The sequence below is a fragment of the Homo sapiens genome, chromosome 13, assembly GCF_000001405.40.
Source record: "Homo sapiens chromosome 13, GRCh38.p14 Primary Assembly".
Taxonomy (NCBI): Eukaryota; Metazoa; Chordata; class Mammalia; order Primates; family Hominidae; genus Homo; species Homo sapiens.
Window position 1 is genome coordinate 41,061,404 of NC_000013.11, and position 23,702 is coordinate 41,085,105.

The 23,702-nt window shown below is 38.6% G+C and overlaps 1 protein-coding gene across 3 annotated transcripts; it reads left to right on the forward strand.

The window, feature by feature from the left end:
• Nucleotides 1-105: 105 nt before the first annotated feature.
• On the forward strand, nucleotides 106-22,603 carry WBP4 (WW domain binding protein 4). Of its 3 annotated transcripts, none has more exons than NM_007187.5 (10): nucleotides 106-272; nucleotides 1,241-1,313; nucleotides 3,613-3,675; nucleotides 3,761-3,884; nucleotides 7,158-7,334; nucleotides 10,124-10,170; nucleotides 11,379-11,454; nucleotides 14,641-14,834; nucleotides 19,243-19,406; nucleotides 21,301-22,603. In NM_007187.5, coding segments are annotated over exons 1-10 (1,131 nt in total). In that variant the 5' UTR covers nucleotides 106-270; the 3' UTR covers nucleotides 21,512-22,603. The 3 variants fall into 3 exon arrangements, with proteins under 3 accessions (NP_009118.1, XP_005266302.1, XP_047286027.1); XM_005266245.3 differs by lacking the exon at nucleotides 106-272 and adding an exon at nucleotides 723-837; XM_047430071.1 differs by lacking the exons at nucleotides 106-272; nucleotides 1,241-1,313; nucleotides 3,613-3,675; nucleotides 3,761-3,884; nucleotides 10,124-10,170 and having other exon boundaries at nucleotides 7,254-7,334.
• Nucleotides 22,604-23,702: the final 1,099 nt, after the last annotated feature.

Here is a 23,702-nt window from a genome sequence, read left to right on the forward strand (position 1 = left end):
AACCCCTTTATACCGACCCCACCTCTTTGGAGCCGGGAGTACCGCCCCTGTAGGGGGAGGGGAGAGGAGGCGATTTCGAACGCGGATTGGATCGTCTGGGCACCCGTAGTTGGGAACAGCGGAACGCTGGTCCCGGGGACTGAGTAAGGTGTCTGGATCGGAGGGAGGTTCGGGTGGGCATCGGGCGGCTGGAAGAGCTCGACTCGTCCCGCTGGGAAAGCGCGAGTCTGAGTGGAACCCTGGACGACTTGCAGAGCGGCTGGCGCAGTCATGTGAGTTGGGTCTCAGGCCCTGAACAACGAGGTGTTGTTTCTCTGGGCCGCCCTTTCTCGCCCGGGTCTTCCCCTCCTCTCCTCCCGCCCTTCGGCCGGGGGCGTGACAGACGCGTTCTTAACTCGCTCGGGACCGGCCCCAGACCTGCAGGGCCGGTTCTCAGGGCGGGGTAGAAATGTTACCCCGCTGAACGCCCTGGGGTATGGGGCACGGGCTCTAGGGGGAGGCCGGCGGCCGGTTCAGGGGGCTGGTTGGACGGCCGCGGGTGAAGCGACGCAGTGCTCTCTCTACGACGCTGTCGGGGGTCGCATGCACCCCTTGGGTTTCCGAAGCCCCTGAACCCTAGGGTATTGTGAAACTAGGGCTGGGCTGCGGCCTCCCCCGCCCACTGGAAGCGGCCAGCCCTGGATAGCGTAATGGTTTTTTTTTTTTTTTTTTTTTTTTTTTTGTCGGCCGTCTACGAAGTCCCATGGCTTTTCCAGTTCTCTCTTGCCTTGAGGCTCAAGAACAGTTTGTTTTAACTGAGAGTCTGGGAGGAACTACAGTTTTCCCCAGAGTAGTCTTGTACGTTGTTCTCTTGGTGGGAATAACTTGATTTAAGGCAAACTTTATGAGTTTCTTCAGGTTTCCATTACAGCAACCTCCCCCAAAGCCAGAAAGGATAAATGTTCTTCTAAGATGTTCCTTAGTTTTTCATAACGATGACGATAACAAGTGAGGAATTTTTGAAAGCCATTTTATTGAAGGGAGTTTTGTAATGAATCAGATACAGACTTTTTCTACTCCGCTGGCAACAGAATTTCAATTGACTGTGCTCCAACCAGATAAATAATAAAACGACTATACATAACAAGACAAGATTCAGTAGCAGGGGCATATATTTCAAACTTTAAAAACTGTAAAGCATGCAGAATTTAACCTTTTTTAAGTTTTACATGAGCTTAGCCTTGTTGTCTCTCTTTTTCAGGGCGGACTACTGGAAGTCACAGCCAAAGAAATTCTGTGATTACTGCAAGTGCTGGATAGCAGACAATAGGCCTGTATGATAATTCCGCTGTTAGAGATTCTAATAATAATTGTGTTGAATGAAGTGCTCCTTTTTGATGTAAACTCAGTTTACAAAGCACTTTTATGTACATTGCTCTTGCATTTTCAAAACATCAGAAGATTTCTGTCTTCTCAGTCCCCTATGAAAGCTGTGAGCCTTCTTCCTTTTCATCAACCTGACTTTGATTATATATTAAATTATTTCTCTGTGGCCTTTTGGGAAATGGGCAATGAGTTGGTCATATCATTCATGTTATGAAGCACCTATATTATAATGGTGGTGTTCATAATACTGTCATACCCAAAGAATTGTGGAAAGCCCTTAAAAAATAAAAGCAACATGTTTAGTTTTTCTTGTATATTTTGTGGTCTAGAAATAATCAAGTGTATTTAATGCAGAGCTGTGTATCTTTAGATGCTTAAATTTGAAAGAACACCATTATTTCCTTTCTCATGAAACAAAGTAACAACTCTGTTAGGTATGTTGTTAGTCTGTCTCATAGTTGAGATCCAGTTTTGAAGATGTAAAGCAAAAAGCACACCGCTGATTTTTCTCCCCTCTTGCATGTCAAAATACTATGTACATACCACATAAACACTAGGGTATCTGTTAAATATATTTTATGTTGATACCGTTTTTACTTGGCAAAGTTGGATGCACAAAGAATAGTAGTCTCATATTTTAACAATGCTGTGGATTTCTTCTGTAGACATTTATTTCCTGTTACCTGCAAGGTGTTTAGGATTTGGATTTTTTTTTGATGTTTTGGTCTTTTTGGATAGTTGCTAAAGTTCTTCACTATTTTACCTAGGCTATCCTTATAAATAAATACCATGAATTTTTAAAACCACACAGGTCACTTAAAGTCTCTCTTTCTTGGAGGTACCTAGGCTGTAAAATGAATTTTGTGAGTTATCTAGAGTAAGTAATCCCTTCCAGTGTAGTCTGTCTTTATCTTCTTGAGTTGGTAATACACATTGATTTAACCTTTAATTAGAAACAAAATTAATTTAATTTTGAATGGTCCTTTAATATTGTATTCTTTGTGTAGTGTAATCAACTTTAGGAAACGCAATGTATGAAAAACAGGAGGATTATCTGCTTTACAAAGTCACACTTTAAAGATGAATTCATGGTAGTATTTTAAAATAGCTCAGTTAATGCATCATGTAAGATTTGATTGACAGAACTTATTTTGCAGAGCTTGTGAGGAATTTCTTACTGCATTTAACTAGAAACTTGTAATTTAGGGAGCATTTCTGATTGTTTAAATAGATAATTGCGCTCACTCACCAGCCCCTGTCCCCAGTCATCTAGTGGCCATCACTCCCCATAGGTTATCATTTTTTTTTTTCATTTTCTTGCCTATCCTTCCATTGTTTCTACATGCATGTAGACACAAGTTCTTATTCCAGCATACATAAAAGGTAATGTACTGTATATATTATTCTGCACTAGTTTTAAAAAATTTAACAGTATGTAACTGGAGCTCCCTTTGTATCCATACATAAAGAGCTTCTTTCTCTCTGTTACAGTAGACTATGAGAATGTACCATAGTTTAACCAGTCAGTCCCTTAGAGATGGATACCGTATTGTTATTGCAAACAGTGCTGCAGTCAGTAAGCTTGTGTATATCATGATTTTGTACATGTGCAGGTATATCTATAGAATAAATTACCAGAAATGAAATTGCTGTGTCAAAGGGTAAATGTATTTGTAGTCTTGATAGATATTGCCAAATTATCCTCCATAGAAGTTGTACATTTTGAACCATTACCACATTGTATAAAAGTGTTTGCTTATAATTTACGAGGAATCTTAAAATACATACTTTTCTCCTAAATTTAAGGAATAAAGCAATAAAATCATTGTTCTCTATGTCCCTCCTTGTGACAAATAGAGCAATAAAATTCTAAAGGCTTTTGATGTTGAAAGTTGTTTAAGATTTTTTTCCCCAGTCTTTTGGCTTCATGTCACGTTTGAGTCCTCATTACAATCATAGTCACTAGATTAGTCATCAAGGGTACCTTGTATTTTTCTCCATTAATAAGGTCATCATGGTTTATTTTAAGAACCAAAGGAAACCTAGTCAGAGGACATAATAATAAACAATGTAGTTCCCTAGCATCATTTGATTAAAAGGGCCAATTTGCATTAAATTAATGTTTTCATCTTTTCTGCCATTCATTTTAATTTTAATTTTCTCATGTTTATGAGAAAATTATGTTTACTATGAATTTTATGATGTTTATGTAGTTTTCTTTTGTTATTTTCTCTTTTCATTTTCAAGAGTGTTGAATTTCATGAAAGAGGAAAGAATCATAAGGAAAATGTGGCAAAAAGGATCAGTGAGGTAATTTAGATTGTTTATTTGCTAATTTTTCTATGCAAATGTCAGTCCTTTATCTCACTTTCACTGTTATGTATGTCTTACATAGATTAAACAGAAAAGCCTGGATAAGGCAAAGGAAGAAGAAAAGGCATCAAAGGAGTTTGCTGCAATGGAGGCAGCTGCCCTGAAAGCATACCAAGAGGATTTGAAAAGACTTGGCTTAGAGTCAGGTAAAAAAAAAAAAAAAAAAAAAGCAGCCAGCATGTTTTAAAAGTAACATCAGAGGTCAAGCTAAGTAAGCTTTGATTGCTTCCATAAAGAGGTTATAAACTCAGTGTACTCTCAGTGCTTTTATTATGCATCATAGCCCTGTTTAGACTATGGAAGTTTGCTTATGCCCTTTTGTTGTACTTTTAATGTTTTATCTTTTAACACCTTCATTCATAGCAGCCATACTACTTTTGTGGTCACCTAATCCTAGTTCTATCCTAGGTAAATGGTTCATTTCAGAGACACTTTGAGTTTTTTAGGTATTCTAGTTATTTGGCTAAGAGACACTATTCATTTAAAAATAGGCCTTGCATTATAATTGCAATTCACTGTGTCCATATGGTGAAAATTATGAGTCTTGTATATTTATATGGGTGAATATGTAGTGAATTAGCCTTTTGTGGACAATTAGCAGATTTTACTAGTAGAAGGCAGATATTTACTACTAGAAGGAAGTTCCAGATGAAAGACCTTATTTAACTAGACTGCATCTATCTTGTCATTGAATTTAGGCTTTAAACTGGGAAGGTTTTGTGAATAATTCTTCCATATCAAATCCGTTTTCCTTAAACCAGGCATATAGCAGATCTCAGTTGTTGATCTTACCTAGTGGTTGCAGTCATCAACATGTGATGGTATTCCTCTAATAAAAACAGCTTTCAATTAAGGTTTTAAGCAGAGTACCAGTTAAGTTAATTGGCATTGTGTTCATTAAATAAGAACAGTTGTAGCCAGACTTTGTTATCCTGGACATTGGTAATTAAAAGGTGGGAAAGTTGTTTGGTTCCTTGAGGATAAAGCCATATGTTCATCTTGAAAGGAAAAAGGATTTAGGCATTCCTGGAGAATTAGGAATAGATGAGAGTCCAACTATTATCAATTATATGCATTGAGACATTCCATTATGCTGCCCTTTGAGCAAATAAATTTTACCATTTTATATTTAAATGGATTTTTCCTATTAAATATTACCATAGCCTTGTTTTTCCAAATAGGATACATATTCAAACATACAACAATGCAGTACAAAGAAAAGAGTTTTTAAAAACTCACTAACTGTTAAGATTTTTTGCAGACCTCTTCTTTAGATCTTTTTTTAAATTACATATTTTGTGCTGCGGTCTATTTGCCGGTTGTTTTATTTTTTCCCTCAGTGATATATCAAATGTATCTTTTCTTTTAATTAGGGAGATGTATCATTTTTATATGGTAGGAGCAGACTTTGGAGTCAAGCAGAATTTCCTCTTGCTAGTTATGACTTTTGATTTTTATTAAAACTAAGTAACATTATGGTATAAATTGCTTATTACGTGACCACACATAACAAATGGTGAATAAATGGTAGCCACTGTTATTTTGTCTCTGTACTATAATTTATTTAATCTTTTCCTGGTTAACATTTAGGTTGCTTAGCATTTTTCACTGTCGTAAAGAGTGCGGCATTAAGCATCTTTATGCATGTATCTTTTTACACTTATTTTTCTCTGTAGGTTCAGTTTCTGGAAGTTACAGTATAAAAGTGTGAATATATTTTATATTGATAGCTAATACCACATTGTCTCCAGAAATGGACTGATGTACATTTTCATTAGAACAAAAATAAGTTTATTAACCCGTTTTAGGAGTAACTAGCCAATCCTTTGGAAAGTAAAGCCATAAAAACTATTTTTCTCTTTTTTTGAAGACAGGTCTCGCTCTGTCACCTGGTTGGAGTGCAGTGGCAAAATCATGGCTCACTGTAGCCTCGACCTCCCGGGCTCCAGTGATCCTCCCACCTCAGCTCGTCACCAGTCCCAGCGATTTTTTGGTAGAGACGGGGTCTTGCCATGTTGCCCAGGCTGATCTGGAACTCCTGGCCTCAAGCAATCCACCTGCCTGGGCTTCCCAAAGTGCTGGGATTACAAGCGTGAGCCACTGTCCCCCACCAAAACTACCCATTTTTTCAAAGCAATGTAAATACCTGATCTATCAAACTAATACTGGATTTGGTCATTCTTTTCACTACTTATTGATCTTCTGCAAAACAACAACAAAACATTTCTTTGAATATTAGCAAAAGTAAATGTTAATTGGCCAGGTGCCGTGGCTCATGCCTGTAATCCCAGCAGTTTAGGAGGCCGGAGTGGGAGGATTGTTTGAGCCCAGGAGTTCAAGACCAACCTAGCAAGATGGTGAGACCCCACCTCTACTACAATATAAAAATAAAAAATTAACTGGGCTTGGTGGTGCGCACCTGTAGTCCCAGCTACTTGGGATGCTAAAGTGGGAGGATTGCTTGAGCTGAGAAGTTCAAGGCTACTAATGTGGGCTATGATTGCACCACTGCACTCCAGCCTGGACAACATAAGAGAAAAAAAAGTAAATGTTAATTATCTGAATTGTCTTTGTAATTGTTGTCCATTTTTCTATTAGAATGTTTGATTTGTAAAGGATCTTTGTTAGGAATATTAACCCTTTGCCATATTTATTGTAAATATTTTTTCATTTGTCTTATATATGTTTTTTCTTTTTATTTTTGTCATACAGAATATCTTAATTTTTATGTAGTCAAATTTAACATTATTTTACTTTGTGTTCTTTTTGTAACTATCTTTGACCTAGTATTTAATAAAAAGGGGGGAAGGGAGCAGGTAGTGGGGAACAGCTTTACTTTTTTCCCAAATAATTAATCAGTTAATCTAAAAACTTTCTTTTTAAGCATGCTTTCTTTATTTCCTTTTTTTAATATATATATAGATGTAGGGGGTACAAGTGCAGATTTCTCATATGCATATATTGCATAGTGATGGAATCTGGACTTTTAGTATACCCATTGCCCAAATAGTGAACGTTGTACCCAGTAGGTAATTTGAAAACCTCTTTTTTTAATGATCTGTCTTTTATCCTCTGATATGAAATACCAGCCAACCTGAAGTTGGCTCTGTATCTGGACTATTTTGTTTCAATTATATGCTTGCCTATTTCTATGTCAGTTCCACACTGCTGGCTGTTTTTTTAACCCATAGTTTTAGAATAAGTTTTAACACCTGGTAGAACTAAATTCTCCTTTTTCTTTTTATTACAGTTTTCCTTCCCTTACATGTTTATTTTTCCGAATGAACTTTATAATAATGTGTTAAGTTCTCAAAAGAACCTTATCAGGTTTTTGATTGGAATAACATTAATGTTTTATGCCAGCAACCATAAAAAATAGTAGTTACTATAGCTGCTTTACCCTTCTCTCATCTCTTTAGAAATTTTGGAGCCAAGCATAACACCAGTAACCAGCACTATCCCACCTACCTCGACATCAAATCAACAGAAAGAAAAGAAAGAAAAGAAGAAAAGAAAAAAAGATCCTTCAAAGGGCAGATGGGTAGAAGGCATAACCTCTGAGGGTTACCATTACTATTATGATCTTATCTCAGGAGGTAAGTCATTTAGGCATAAAACTGGTAAAGAACAGTGTCACTAGTAGAATAGAACAATTTATTTTATGTTAGGATTTTTATCTAATGTTGGAGCACTTTAAATAGTGAAAGACCGGTTTTTCATTTTTGCCCCAAAGGTAAGAAAACTGTGTGCCCTTTAAAAAGGTACCCTTCTCATAGTGACTAAGTGTCATACTTAGTCAAAGCCTTTGATAATGACTTTCTTACAAATAAACTATAGCTTTATATTTTCTCAATAGAAACTTCTGTAAGTATAAACTACATGGAAATAAAGAATTTTGCATAGAAATAAGGAATTTCAAATCCACTTCACAAATTGTAGGGGTACTTGAAATAAAATATTCTACAGTAGAGATTTTCTTCTGGGAGCCAGTAACTGATTTCTTTTTTCTGTAGCTGCCTTGATTGATTTGATATTGTTACTGAAAAATGACATTGTGTATTTTACTGGAAACTGATACCCAACAGAAAAATACACAGTGCCATGGCCAGATGCAGTGGCTCATGCCTGTAATCCTAGCACTTTTGAGGGGCCGAGGAGGGTAGATCACTTGAGGTCAGGAGTTCAAGACCAGCCTGACCAACATGGTGAAACCCCATCTGTACTAAAAATACAAAATTAGGCTAGGCGCGGTGGCTCACACCTGTAATCCCAGCACTTTGGGAGGCTGAGATGGGCAGATCACAAGGTCAGGAGATCAAAACCATCCTAGCTAACATGGTGAAACCCCGTCTCTACTGAAAAAACAAAAAATTAGCCAGGCATGATGGTGGGCACCTGTAGTCCCAGCTACTTGGGAGGCTGAGGCAGGAGAATGGCGTGAACCCAGGAGGCGGAGCTTGCAGTGAGCCGAGATTGGGCCACTGAACCCAGGAAGCGGAGCTTGCGGTGAGCGTAGATTGGGCCACTGTACTCCAGCCTGGGCGACAGAGCGAGACTCTGCCTCAAAAAAAAAAAAAAAAAAAAAAAGTAGCCAAGCGAGGTGGCTCATGCCTGTAATCCCAGCTACCTGGGAGGCTGAGGCAGGAGAATCAATTGAACCCAGGAGATGGAGTTTGCAGTGAGCCCAGATCGCGCCATTTCACTCCTGCCTGGGCAACAAGAGCGAAAGTCCATCTCAAAAAAAAAAAAAAGAAAAAAAAAATACACAGTGTCGTTTTACAGTAACAATATCAAAAACATCTTTTTTTGTTTTTCCTAAAAACTAAATGTATTTGGGGTTTTTACTCCGTATACATTTTGGAATAAATTAATACATTTATTCTACATTTATGTAGCATCTTACTCTCCAGAGTCATAAAATTTAGCGACAAATAAATAAGCTTGATAAAAGGAGGAATTTTAAAGTGCTATAATAGAAGTGTAATTAAGATTATATGGGAACTCATAATAATGTTGAATTCATTGTGATTATGTAGCTTTGAGAGATTACCATAGGAATTACTTTTGAGCTGATCTCTAAATTAAGATAGGGACATCAGGAATGATGCCTTACTCACCATTGTATTCCTGGCGCCTAACATAGTGCCTAGCACAGTGTAGACACTCTGTGTTTTGATTAAAGAAGACTTCAGTAGATAATTAAGAGGTACAGAATCCACACAGAACAATATGAACCCCAAAAAAGGTTTGAAAGTATTGGGAAATAGTGGTCGAGGTAAAACATGCAGTTCTTTGAAGACGTCTTAGTAGAGTTAGACTGGAAGGTAGATTGGAGCCATCTTATGGAGGGCTGAGAGAATGATGGTGCCATTTACTTAGATACGAGATAAGGAACTGAAAATAAGTTTAATGGGGACAATAATGAATTAGATACGTTGAATATGAGGTACCTACAGAATATTCATATGACAGCTTTTGGTAGCTAATTGATGGTTACAGTGTGGAGCTGAGCAAAATTGAGTCTGGGGATGTAGATAATATGTTAGCCTTTAGGAGTATATGAGATCGCAAGCAGAGAGAATAGAGCAAGAAGTAAAGAAGGTGAGTGTTACATATATTAAAGGAATGGATAGAAGAAAAGCCAGCAAAAGAAGGTTAAGAATGCTAGGAAGGTAGGAAATAAGATCAGAGAGTTAATCATGAAGAAATCCTTGGGCTAACAATCTTACTGTAATGACTATTATCATTAGGATCATAATTACCTTTGGACTATGTAGAAATATTAATCCGTTAGAGTTTGCACTGAGCTTTAAGTGACATGCATATTGTAGTTTAGCAATGAAGATATCATAAATGATTATGTACTAGCAATTAGAAGTCTTTCTCAAATTTACTTATAAACTGTTATTTCATTTCTCCCTTCCAATGCTTATTGCTTGCCTCTCTTTTTCAGCATCCTACTTTATATACTCTTCCTCTCCATGATACATGTTTTTAATTTCTGCATACTAGTTGTTCCTCTTCTGAGTTCTTATTCAGTTTATCTCTCACTCTCCCTTGCCCCAAGATATCAAAAGGCCTTTGAAACTTATCAGACCTGAATTCTGTGAAACCTTTATGAGAAGCCCTGCCTGGCTCTAAAATTCCTGTGGAAGTTCCAGTAACTTCTAATCCCTCGTTCTGTCCTTTCTTCTTGGTTACGTAGCATTCACATATATTGTCTGCACAGTACTGGGATGTATGTTCTGTTTTATTTTTCAAATATGTTTTAAATTGTAGACCTGTAGTGTTTTGTACATAATGACTGTAAATTTTGTCCAAATTTTTTGGAAAGTATTTTTTTAAAGCAAAAAGATTTTATAAATGCAATATATTTTGCTTTAAGCATCTCAGTGGGAGAAACCTGAAGGATTTCAAGGAGACTTAAAAAAGGTAATTGAAGCATATTAATAGTGTTTTTGTTTTATTCTTTACAGTGATTCGTTTCTTAGGTTTTTGTAGAGTTTTGCTAAGCAACTTTATTTACAAATACTCCACTCCCTCCACCCCCAAACTGTGTCCTTTTTTTTCCCATAATGCTTTTGTTAGAAGGCTGGATGGAGATGAAATAGTGATATCTGGCTGGGTGCAGTGGCTCATGCCTGTAATCCCAGCACTTTGGGAGGCTGAGGCATGTGGATCACAAGGTCAGGAGTTAAAGACCAGCCTGGCCAAGATGGTGAAACCCTATCTCTCCTAAAAACTACAAAAAAATTAGCCAGGCGCAGTCGCAGTTGCCTGTAATCCCAGCTACTCAGGAGGCTGAGTCAGGGGAATCACTGGGACCTGGGGCGGCAGAGGTTAACAGTGAGCCGAGATTGCACCACCGCACTCCAGCCTGGATAACAAAGTAAGACTCCGTCTCAAAAAAAAAAAAAAAAAAAAAAGTACTGATATCTATCCAAAAACTGCATTCAGGGCAAATATTAGTTGGTTTGCCGTCAGTTGCCATTCACATGTTCCTGTCCATTTGGAAGGAATTGTTCCTGGCTTTCAAAGGTGAGACATCCACTGCTTGAAAGTTGGTTCTTTATTAGCAAAAACCAAGCTTCCTGGCCATGATTAGTACTACCACCCCTAATACCCAGGTGTATTAGTCAGTTCTTGCATTGCTATAAAGAAATACTTCTGAAACTAGGTAATTTATCAAGAAAAGAGGTTTAATTGACTCACAGTTATGCAGGCTGTACAGGAAGCATGGTGGCATGAGCTTCTGGAGAGGCTTCAGGAAACTTACAATCATAGCAGAAGGCCAAGGGAAAACAGTCACATCTTACATGGCCAGACCAGGAGCAAAGGGAGGTGCCACACACTTTTCAATGACCAGATCTCAGGGTAGCTTGCTCACTATTTCAACAACAGCACCAAAGGTGGATGGTGTTGAAACCATGAGAAACCACCCCTGTGATGCAGTCACCTCCCACAAGGCCCCATCTCCAACTTGGAGGATTACAAGTCTACATGAGATTTGGGTGGGGATGCAGATCGAGATGATATCACCAGGTGTCAGGAGGAGAGGCAAGGGTGGCTGACTGTCTGAGTTATTCAATAGAAAATCATGGTTATCCTTAGTTTATGCTGGGTTTTTTTCCTCCTATTAGACAGCAGTGAAGACCGTTTGGGTAGAAGGTTTAAGTGAAGATGGTTTTACCTATTACTATAATACAGAAACAGGAGGTAAGTATTACCTTTGATTATCTTAACTGTTTAAAATTGTACCTGGAACTGCTTATTGGCCTGCTGATTAATCATCTGAACTTGGAAATTTTAGTATACAATAAACATATTTGTGTAGTAAACATGAATTATTTTTTGTAATTTAAAAACAATACAGTGGAAAAGCAAAAAGATTTATATTCGTATTATGTTGTGCTGTTCACCAATGTTATTCTCAGTTGATATTGCATTCACAAACTTAAAAATAGAATCATTTTAGCTTTCTCTGACATTACTATTTTTATAATTATTTTAGAAATATAGTCATTACCTTGGAAGGTAGCTTAGAGATCATCTGGCTCAACTTGCCTTTTCCTTTTTAAAAATAAAACTGTGGCCGGGCACAGTGGCACATGCCTGTAATCCCAGCAGTTTGGGAGGCCAAGACAGGTGGATCACCTGAGGTCAGGAGTTAAGCGACCAACCTGACCAACATGGTGAAACCCTGTCTCTGTTAAATACAAACAAATTAGCCGGGTGTGGTGGCACATGCCTGTAATCCAAGCTACTTGGGAGGCTGAGACAGGAGAATCTTGTACCTGGGAGGCGGAGGTTGCAGTGACCCGAGATCGTGCCATTGCACTCCAGCCTGGGCAACAAGAGCAAAACTCTGTCTCAAAAAAAAAAAAAAAAGTAGGCTAGGCGCGGTGGCTCACGCCTGTAATCTCAGCAGTTTGGAAGGCCAAGGCGGGCAGATCATCTGAGGTCAGGAGTTCGAGACCAGCCTGACCAACATGGTGAAACCCCTTCTCTACTAAAAAATTACCCGGGCGTGGTGGTGGGCACCTGTAGTCCCAGCTACTCAGGAGGCTGAGGCAGAGAATCACTTGAACCCAGGAGGTAGAGGTTGCAGTGAGCCAAGATCGCACCACTGCACTCCAGTCTGGGCGACAGAGCAAGACTGTCTCAAAATAAAATAAAAAATAAAACTGAAGCTATTTAGTAGTGTCTAACAAATTAGTAAAAGTGAAAATTTAACAATGTTTCAGTTGCATAAATACTTACGAAGCATGCATAAATACTAATTGTTATCTAAAACTTTTTTTTTTTTTTTGAGACGGAGTCTTGCTATCGTCCAGGCTGGAGTGCAGTGGCACAATCTCGGCTCACTGCAGGCTCTGCCCCCTGGGGTTCATGCCATTCTCCTGCCTCAGCCTCCCAAGTAGCTGGGACTACAGGCACCAGCCACTTCGCCAGGCTAATTTTTTGTATTTTTAGTAGAGACGGGGTTTCACCATGTTAGTCAGGATGGTCTCGATCTCCTGACCTCGTGATCCGCCCGCCTCGGCCTCCCAAAGTGCTGGGATTACAGGCGTGAGCCACCGCGCCCGGCCCTAAAACTTTCAAATTAATGTTTCATCTAATTTAACATCATAAACAGTTGAATTTATCAGAACAGCTATAACATTAATGTAACTTTAGGAGAGGCTTGTTTTTGTTTTTTTAATTCCTGTTATCATTAGCTCATTGCATAGCATTAAATCTTTTAGGAAGAAAAGGCCCTTTTAACCTCCAAGTAGATATTTAGCCTGCCCAGTTATAGCAATGTTTATATTCCAGTACAATTGAAGGTTGGGATTTTTATACATATAAAATAGTATAGTGATATAATATAGCTTTAGAGTTAGACAGATCTGAGTTCAATGCACAGCTTCTTTCCTTACCAGCAATGTGACTGTGGGTGTTACTGAGCCTATAGTCACTCTTCAGTGAAATAGAATAAACATGCATGCTCTGTAAGGTCATGAATGTCATATGTCATAAAGTTCCAATAACAGTGCTTGGCACATAGTAGGTGCTAAATAAATTACTCCCTGAACTGGCGTGGTGGTTCACACCTGTAGTCCTAGAACTTTGGGAAGTTGAGGCAGGCGGATCACTTGAGGTCAGGAGCTCGTGACCAGCCTGGGCAACGTGGTGAAATCCTGTCTCTACTAAAAATACAAAACCTAGCTGGGCGTGGTGGCGCTTGCCTGTGGTCCCAGTTACTCGGGAGGCTGAAGCAGGAGAATCGCTTGAACCGGGGAGGTGGAGGTTACAGTGAGCTGAGATCACGCCAAATAAATAAATAAAAATAAAATAAATAAATTCTTGAAAGTTCTATTGTTAACTTGTGTGAAATGTGGATTAGGAAAAGTAATGTTTTTTCATTAATCCTGCCAAGAACTCTGTATTAATTAAGGTGCTGTATATATTGGTTTGCCTTGAATGATTTTGGTTTATTCCTGGACCAGAATAATTACTAACGGCAGCCCCTTTCACTCTTAAAACTCTCCCAGTTGAAAGTAGGGAATTAATTACAAGGTAATTAGAAATATTATTGTTTTACTAAAAGCCCAATGAACCACTGGATGGCAGTAGAGTTCAGTCAATTGAGATTCCCATTGCTGCCCCCCCACCCACCAAACCACCATAATAAAAATGAGAATTTAATATTCACTTAGTGCTTCACAATGTAATTTCACTCCATGAAAATCTTAGGAATTTTTTCTTTTTTTAAATTGAGACAAGGTCTTGCTCTGTCCCCCAGACTGGAGTGCAGTGGCACAATCATGATTCACTGCAGCCTCTATTTCCTGGGCTCAAGCAGTCTTCCCGCCTCAGCCTCCTGAGTAGTGGGTACTGCAGGAATATGGCATGATGCCTGCTAACTTTTTAATTGTTTGTAGAGACAGGTTCTCGCTATGTTGCCCGGGCTGGTCTCACACTCCTGAGTTCAAGCAATCCTCCTACCTCGCCTTTTCAAAGTGTTGGAATTACAAGCATAAGCCAGCACACTGGGGCCAGGAAAGGAAATCTCTGTGATAAGCAAGTTTCAGGAAATCTCTTGTTTGCTCATTATCAATACGTTTCCTGAAATTGGTGTCAGATAAATTGTGAACCGTTAGAAATATCACCCAGTTCTTAGGTCTCTCATTCCATTGGAGTTATAGTTTACACATCTAGTAAATCCGGGCTGTTTGAAATCAATTTCTGAAAGATACAAGAGCAAGAGGTTTGAGAACTCTGTTATCTTCTTGATCAAGAGATAGTATGAAATACATACAGTATTGTCATTTAATAATTGTAAGTGATAAATGTTATGTTGAAATTACATCTGAATAGAATTAATAACTAAATAACATGACTTTAAAATGTGTTGAGCAGAATCCAGATGGGAGAAACCTGATGATTTCATTCCACACACTAGTGATCTGCCTTCTAGTAAGGTCAATGAAAATTCACTTGGCACCCTAGATGAATCCAAATCATCAGATTCGCATAGTGATTCTGATGGGGAACAGGAAGCAGAAGAAGGAGGGGTCTCTACAGAGACAGAAAAGCCAAAAATAAAGTTTAAGGTAGGTTTTTAAATTTTACTCTTCACATCAAATTTTTTTTTTTTTTTTTTTTTTTTTTTTGAGATGGAGTCTTGTTCTGTCCCCAGGCTGGAGTACAGTGGCACTGTCTTGGCTCACTGTAACCTCCACCTTCCGGGTTCAAGCAATTCTCCTGCCTCAGCCTCCCGAGTAGCTGGGACTACAGGTGTGTGCCACCAAACCCGGCTAATTTTTTTTATTGTTAGTAGAGACAGGGTTTTACCATGTTAATAACCAGGATGGTCTTGATCTCCTGACCTCGTGATCTACTTGCCTCGGCGTCCCAAAGTGCTGGGATTACAGGCGTGCGTCACCACGCCCAGCTGACATCAATTTTTGAAAAGCTCTACAGACCTTAAGTCTTCTGATAGAACATAGAAATTAAGACATATTTTGGCAACTGGATAAATAAAACCGGGAACACTCAGGAGCCCATGAGTCAAAGCAGAGGAGACACATTATTAGCATTGAGCAATGGTTGCGATTGTTGGCCTGAGAAATGTAGGAAAATCAGAGTTCCTAAATACCTAGTTACACCTAGGATCTTGTCATTGCCTGCAGTTTCTCTACCAACTTCACAAATCTTGATGGAACTTAGAGTAAGGGTTATGTGCAGTTTACAGAGGAGCAGCAGCAAAGCCTTCGTTGTAATTGCCATCTCACAATGATTATAGCCAGCCAGATTTAGGTAATCCAGTATCCAACTTAGGATAGAAATGATTAATTTATTTTCGTCAAAATGAATGTGTTCCAACAACAACAACAAAAAAATACAGGCCAATAACCCTGCTGAACATAGATGCAAAAACCTTCAACAAAATACTGGCAAACTGAATCCAGCAGTACATCAGAAAGATTAATACACCATGATAAAGGGATGCTTTATTCCAGGGATGAAAGGATGGTTCAAAGTATGCAAATCAATAAATGTGATTCACCACATAAACAATTAAAAACAACCATATAATCAGCTCAATAGATAAAAAGCATTTGTTAAAATTCAGCATCCTTTCATGATAAAAACCTTCAGCAAACTAGGCACAGAAGAAACATACCTCATAATAATAAAATAATAAAAGCCATATATGAGGCCGAGTGCGGTGCCTCATGCCTGTAATCTCAGCACTTTGGGAGGCTGAGGCAGGAGAATCGATTGAACCTGGGAGGCAGAGTTTGCAGTGAGCTGAGATAGTGCCACTGCACTCCATGCTGGATGACAGACCAAGACTCTGTCTCAAAAAAAAAAGAAGAGCCATGTATGAGAAACACACAGCCAACGTTATACTGAATGGGGAAGCACTGAAAGTATTCTCCCTAAGAAAGCAAGGATGCTCACTTCAACCACTCCTTTTCAACATAATATTGGAAGTGCTAGCCTGAGCAGTCAGGCAAGAGAAAGAAGTAAAAGGCATCCAAATTGAAAAAGAGGAAGTCAAACTATCTCTGTTTGCTGATTAAATGATCTTACTACCTAGAAAACCCTAAAGACCCCTCCAAAACACACGTGGATTTGATAAGTGACTTCAGTCATGTTTCAGGATACAAAATCACTGTACAAAAATCAGTAGCATTTCTGTATACCTATATCTATATAATAATGGTAAAACCGAGAACCAAATAAAAAACTCAATCCCATTTGTGGTAACTACAAAAAAAAAATCTCGGAATACATTTAACCAAGGAAGTGAAAGATCCCTACAAAATGAACTACAAAACACTGATTAAAGAAATCATAGATGATACACACAAATGAAAAAACATCTCATGCTTCTGGATTGGAAGAATCAATATCACTAAAATGACATACTGGCCACACCAATCTACAGATTCAACACAATCCCTATCAAATTACCAACTTCATTTTTTACAGAATTAGAAAAGCCAATTCTGAAATTTATGTGAAACCAAAAAAGAGCCTCAATAACCATAGCAGTCCTAAGCAAAAAGAACAAAGGTGGAGGCATCCCATTACTTGGCCTCAGACTATATTCCAAGGCTGTCATAACCAAAACAGCACAGTACTGGCATAAAGATAGGCACATAGATTGATGGAACAGAATAGAGAACCCAGAAATAAAGCCACATACCTACAACCAACTGATCTTCAACAAAATCAACAAAAATATACACTGGGGAAGGGATACCCCATTCAATAAATGATCCTGGGAAAACTGGCTAGCTGTATGCAGAAGAATGAAACTGGACCCCTACCTCTAACCATGTACAAAAGTTAAGATGGATTAAAGACTTAAATGTTTAAAGATCTGAAACTATAAAAACCCTAGAAGGAGGCCAGGCATGGTGGCTCACACCTGTAATCCCTGCACTTTGGGAGGCCGAGGTGGGCGGATCACCTGAGGTCGAGAGTTAAAGACCAGCCTGACCAACATAGAGAAACCCCATCTCTACTAAAAATAGAAAATTAGCTGGGTGTCCTGGCGCATGCCTGTAATCCCAGCTACTTGGGAGGCTGAGGCAGGAGAATCGCTTGAACCTGGGAGGCGGAGGTTGCAGTGAGCTAAGATCGTGCCGTTGCATTCCAGCCTGGGCGACAAGAGTGAAACTCTGTCTCAAAAAAAGAAAAAGGAAAAGAAAAAAAAAATCCTAGAAGGAAATCTAGGAAAAACTCATCTGGTCATTGACGTAAGCAAAGAATTTACGACAAAGTCTTCAAAAGTAAACACAAAAATAAAAATAGACAAATGGGAGGGACTTAATTAAAAAGCTTATGCACAGCAAAAGAAACAATTAACAGGGTAAATAAACAGCCCACATATTGGGAAAAACTGTTTGCAAACTATGCATCCAACACAGGACTAATATCCAGAATCCGCAAGGGACTCAACAAGAAAAAAACAACTCCATTGAAAAGGGGGAAAAGGACATGAACAGGCATTTTTCAAAAGACACACAGGTGGCCAAAACACATGAATAATGCTCAACATCACTGATCATCAGAGAAATGCAAATGAAAATCACAAGGAGATACCATCTTACACCAGTCAGAAGGCTGTAATTAAAAAGTCAGAAAATGGCTGGATGCAGTGGCTCACACCTGTAATCCCAACACTTTGGGAGGCTGAGGCTGGCAGATACTTGAGGTCAGGAGTTCAAGACCAGCCTAACCAACATGGTGAAACCCCATCTCTACTAAAAATGCAAAAGAAATTAGCCGAGCATGGTGGCGCATGCAGGAGAATTGCTTGAACCTGGGAGGCAGAGGTTGCAGTAAGCCAAGATCATGCCACTGCCCTCCAGCCTGGGTGACAGAGCAAGACTCCGTCTCAAAAAAAAAAAAAAAAAAAAATCAGAAAACAACAGATACTGGCAAGGATGCAGAGAAAGGGAAACACTTATACACTTACTGAGAATGTATGTTGGTATAACCTTTATAGAAAACATTTCTCAGAGAACTAAAAGCAGAACTGTTATTCAATCCAGCAGTCCCACTTCTGAGTATCTACCCAAAGGAAAAGAAATCATTAAACAGAAAAGATACTTGCACTCATATATTTGTAGCAGCATTGTTCACAATAGCAAAAAGTAAATCAACCTAAGTGTCCGTCAACGGAGGATTGGATAAAAAAAATGCGGTATATATACACACGCACACACACCATGGAATACTACTCAGCCATAAAAAATGAAATGATAGCTTTTGCAGCTATGTGAATGGAACTGGAGGCCATTAACCTAAGTGAAATAACTCAAAGTCAAATACTACATGTTCTCACTTATAAGTGGGAGCTAAACAGTGGGCACACATGGACATACAGAATGGACTAATAGACAGTGGAGACCATAAAAGGTGGGAGGGTGGGAGGGAGGTGAGTTGAACATGTGTCTATTGGGTTTGTTCACTGTTCAGGTTATAGGTACACTAAAAGCCCGTACTTCACCATGACATAATATATACATGTAAGAAATACGCATTTGTGCCCCCTAAGTTATTTTTTAAAAGATAAATTATAGGAAAAGGAAAAAAATTACAAAATACAGGTAAACAAGGACAAACTCCCTATAATCTTGCCGCCTCCCAGAAGAATTCAACAGAGCCACAATTATAAAGGGAGTCACTGTTGGGTATGCAAGTAAAGCAAGAAAGCAGAAGAGAGAAGTTAAGAGAGCCCTGTTTATATGTCCTTAATTGTAGAACTTAAGACATTAAGGTGGTGATTTAGGGAGCCTTTGTCATGGTATATCAACATTTCAGACATGGAAAACCTAATCAAGCAGTAAAGTTCTATGTATATTTATTGTGTTATGTGCAGATTTGAGTTAGTGAATTATTGTTTATAAATCTATAACAATACCTTTAAAAGCCTTAAATTTTATTTTTGTCTTGGTAGTTTTGCTTGAACTGTATTATTTCTTGGCTTTTACATTTCAGGAAAAAAATAAAAATAGTGATGGAGGAAGTGACCCAGAAACACAGAAAGAAAAAAGTATTCAGAAACAGAATTCATTAGGTTCAAATGAAGAAAAATCGAAAACTCTTAAGAAATCAAACCCATATGGAGAATGGCAAGAAATTAAACAAGAGGTTGAGTCTCAGTAAGTACCTGGAGCTTTAATCCCACTGTTATTACAAGTGATTTTACATCCCAGTACTTCCCTAAATTGCAGTAAGTAATTTCAAGGATGCTGTGCTTATTAAAAGTATAGCTTGAGGCCAGATGCACCCCTGTAATCCCAGCACTTTGGGAGGCTGAGGTGGGCGGATCACGAGGTCAAGAGATGAGACCATCCTGGCCAACATGGTGAAACCCTGTCTCTACTAAAAATACAAAAATTAGCTGGGTGTGGTGGCATGTAGCTGTGATCCCAGCTACTCAGGAGGTGGAGGCAGGAGAATCGCTTGAACCCAGGAGGTGGAGGTTGCAGTGAGCTGAAATCGCGCCACTGGACTCCAGCCTAGCAGCAGAGCAAGACTCCATCTCGAAAAAGAAAAAGTATAGCTTGGCTGGGTGAGGTGGCTCACGCCTGTAATCCCAGCACTTCAGGAGGCCAAGGCAGGCAGATCAACTGAGGTCAGGAGTTCGAGACCAGCCTGGCCAACATGGCAAAACTTTCTCTCTACCAAAAAAAAAAAACTTAGCAGGGAATAGTGGCACACATCATGTTCCCAGCTACTTGAGAGGCTGAGGTGGGAGGATTACTTGAGCCCAGGAGGTTGAGACTGCAGTGAGCCATGTTCACACCACTTCACTCCAGCCTGGGCAACAGAGTAGGACCTTGTCTCCAAAAAAAAAAAAAAAAAAAAAATGTAAAAACTAAATAGATAAGCAAATATTGCAGCAACTCAAGTATTACTCAGCAAAGTACATTTCTATAGGATTCAGTGTTGCTATTTAGTTTTATAACTTAAAACAGCCTATGATAACTGATAGCAAAGAAGGTCCTTGCTGGCCAGGCAGGTGCAGTGGCCCACGCCTATAAGCCCAGTACCTTGGGAGGCTAAGGCAGGAGGTTCACTTGAGCCCAGGAGTTGGAGGCTGCTTTGAGCTATGATGGCACCACTTCACTCCAGCCTGGGAGACAGAGCAAGACTCTGTCCTAAAAAGAAAAAATCCTTGGAATAGATTGCCTTCTGCAGAGCTCCATTCTCCAAATAGGATGATGTGTGTTTTTCAACAGGTTTTACGCTCTCAGCTACTTAAACATAACGATCTTTCCGGTCCATTTTCCAGAGTCTCATAGATGGGACTGATGGGTGTGATGTGACTAATTTACTCTTTCACAGACCAGTTGACTATCTAGGGAGTACGGTACTGTGATAGGCTCTTTTTAATCAGGTGCTGATATCAGGACCACTCAACTGATTATTTATAATTAATCATGTGGATGGTTGAAGGGCTAGTTCTTAGCAAAGGAGTGCTAGGCATACAGCTCCATTCAGTCTTCTACAATAGGAAAATGAGATCTCGACTCGCTGCAACCTCTGCCTCCCAGGCTGAAGTGATCCTCTCACCTCAGCCTCTCGAGTAGCTGGGACTGTAGGCACATGACACCATGCCCAGATAATTTTTGTATTTTTTGTAGCAATGGGGTTTTGCCATGTTACCCAGGCGCATCTCGAAACTCCTGAGCTCAAGTGATCCTCCTGCCTCGGCCTCTCAAAGTGCTGGGATTACAAGATTGAGCCACCGCACCCAACCCCCTTATCCCTTTACTTGTACTGCTTATATATAAGCCCAAGCATTTTCTTAGATAATGCATCCTTTGTGCAACAGGAATAAATTAATACATAGAACTTCTCCCAGCATTTATCCACCTGAATAAGTGTTCAGTATCTTAAATAATATTGTAAAGTCAGTATTTTAAAGTAGTTCCTACTCCAAAATGAGCAACTTCTAATGTCATTAGAAAGCTGATCTTGGGGCATTGGTTATATGAAAACGTTTGTCTTACCCTGTCAAATAGAGTTTTACTTTAACTCTATTTCCAGTGAGGAGGTAGATTTGGAACTTCCAAGCACTGAAAATGAGTATGTATCAACTTCAGAAGCTGATGGTGGCGGAGAACCCAAAGTGGTATTTAAAGAAAAAACAGTCACTTCTCTTGGAGTTATGGCAGATGGAGTGGCCCCAGTCTTCAAAAAGAGAAGAACTGAAAATGGAAAATCTAGAAATTTAAGGCAACGAGGTGATGATCAATAGTTGCAGGAGAGCTTTTTGTACATGCTTTTAGGACAGAATGGAGACTTATACACCCAAAGTTTATCTGTGTTTGTTTGTAAGTATTATGATGCTAAAAATTTAGATTTATTCTAAATGTATTTGATGTGAATTAAAATAAATATTTTTTCATGTGAAATTTATTTTGGTTCCTAAAATGGAAGCCTACCACATTGCATTGTAATACAGTGTATTATGTTCAGTGTCTAAAAACTGCTAATTAAGTCATAATTTAAGATGCTATGTATCTGTTATTTAAAACATGGAGAAACAGGGCCTTTATTCCATTCATATTCATAAGAGCATATTTATCCTGCATTGAAAATGCATTACTTTTGCACATTGATATTAACTGTTGTCCAACAAATAAGTATCGGAGTACGTGAGAATATTCCCAGCCCAGTGATGATTTGGTTCTGAGGCTGATGTGAGAAAGCTGATGTAAAAAATGTATGCATATTGGCTTACCTTACTCAATTTAAAGTCAAAAGCCAACAGCCAGGAGCAGCTCAGGTACTTCAGATGTGCTTAATATGGAGTGAAAACTGGACCAGAGGTGGAAAGATGTATTTGCCCCAGTTCACTTCAAAGCAGCAAACGTTGTTTAAGCATTTTAGTTTGAACCAGGCATTGTGTTAGGAATCCAGGGATAAAGATGAATGAAATGTATTTCTGTTCTTCAGGAGTTCACATTCTAGCATATGCCTTTTTTCCCCCAGTCATGCACTCTTTTTAGCAGTCTTATATGTACTAGAAAAGATTTTTTAAAGTTTATTTAAAGCTGTGTAGATGAAGGCTTGATCTAAAATAGTATAAGGTCTCCAGCTTCAGTAAAAGTTTTTAGTGTTTACTTAAATTAGTAATTTCTCACTTTCTGTCTGGTTAAAATGTCTTAAAAAGTAGAATTTTCTTCTTTAATCCGTTTAGTAGTTACCTCCCTTTTACTTTTCAAATTCACAAAATTACATTTCTCATAAATTGTATAGTATTTAACTTATAATAGTTAATATTTGTCTTTTTAAGATGACTGTACATGTAAGAAAAAAGCTTATTAAAAACTTGATCAAAGAATAAGTTAAATATTGTTATTCTAATTCCAGTCAGAATCACCTTAGCATTGGTGAGATAGTATTTGGAGATTTGTCTTTGCATTTTTTCAGTCTACTTTTTGGGTATTTTATGAATGTGAAAGCCTAAACTTTCCCCTTCATTAGGAAGAGATACTTAATAATTCTTGATAGCCCATTCATCATCTAGGTGAGCAGTGCATTCTGGTGCTTTACTCTTCTCAGGTGGAAAAAATAATGGACTGTAAATGCAGTGGTCCTATACTTTACCCACATTTAGCTCTTAAAAAATACAAAATTGAAGGCATTTTTAAGATTAGACCTCATGTAAAGTTTCTCTTTGATGATTTTTAAAACAATCTCCTTTACTTTTGAAAGTAGTATTCTCAAAAACTGAAAGCAAGGTAAATCTCCGTAAACAGTATGGTTATAAAGATTGCTCAGAAAAGACTTGATAATAACAAACACCAATATTTTAGTAAATCAAGTCATGAAAAATAGTAATATTCCATCTGCTTTGGAGGGATAGAGAACATAACAGCTTTTAACTTACTTGGATGTTTTCATAAGTGTTTGATATCATTTCCACTATTACTTTTCGATCGATCGATAGATAGATAATGAAAGTAATTTTTTAATAAATATAAAAATCCAAATAATAGAGAAATAAGTTTTTAGAAAATCTCAGTAATCTGTCATCCCCTCTCCATGACCACTATGGGGTTTTCCGTTTTTCTCAACATGTTAACACTGGGTATATATGGGTAACCCTTATGACATCTGGACCTATGAGGTCCACTATCTGAATGAAACCATATTCAAAGAAACATGATCCAAACAACCAAAAGTAGTTTTTGTTTTTTTAATGCAGTTTTTAATACATTCCAAGAACTGTACTAGGGGAATCAACCCTACCAGATATTTATGAATTAAAAATCTATAAGATACAGTAAAGGACAGGAATGGTGGCTCGTGCCTGTAATCCCAGAACTTTGGAAGACCAAGGCAGGCAGATTGCTTGAGTCCAGGAGTTCGAGACCAGCCTGGGCAATAGGGCAAAACCCCATCTCTACTACGAAAAATAGAAAAAGTTAGCTGGACATGGT

Coding starts and splice junctions, on each gene's coding strand:
- WBP4 (XM_005266245.3), top strand. CDS start 743: ATGGCTTTTCCAGTTCTCTCTTGCCTTGAGGCTCAAGAACAGTTTGTT. Junction 14,835..19,242: donor AGCCAAAAATAAAGTTTAAG/GTAGGTTTTTAA, acceptor TTTACATTTCAG/GAAAAAAATAAAAATAGTGA. Junction 19,407..21,300: donor AAACAAGAGGTTGAGTCTCA/GTAAGTACCTGG, acceptor CTCTATTTCCAG/TGAGGAGGTAGATTTGGAAC.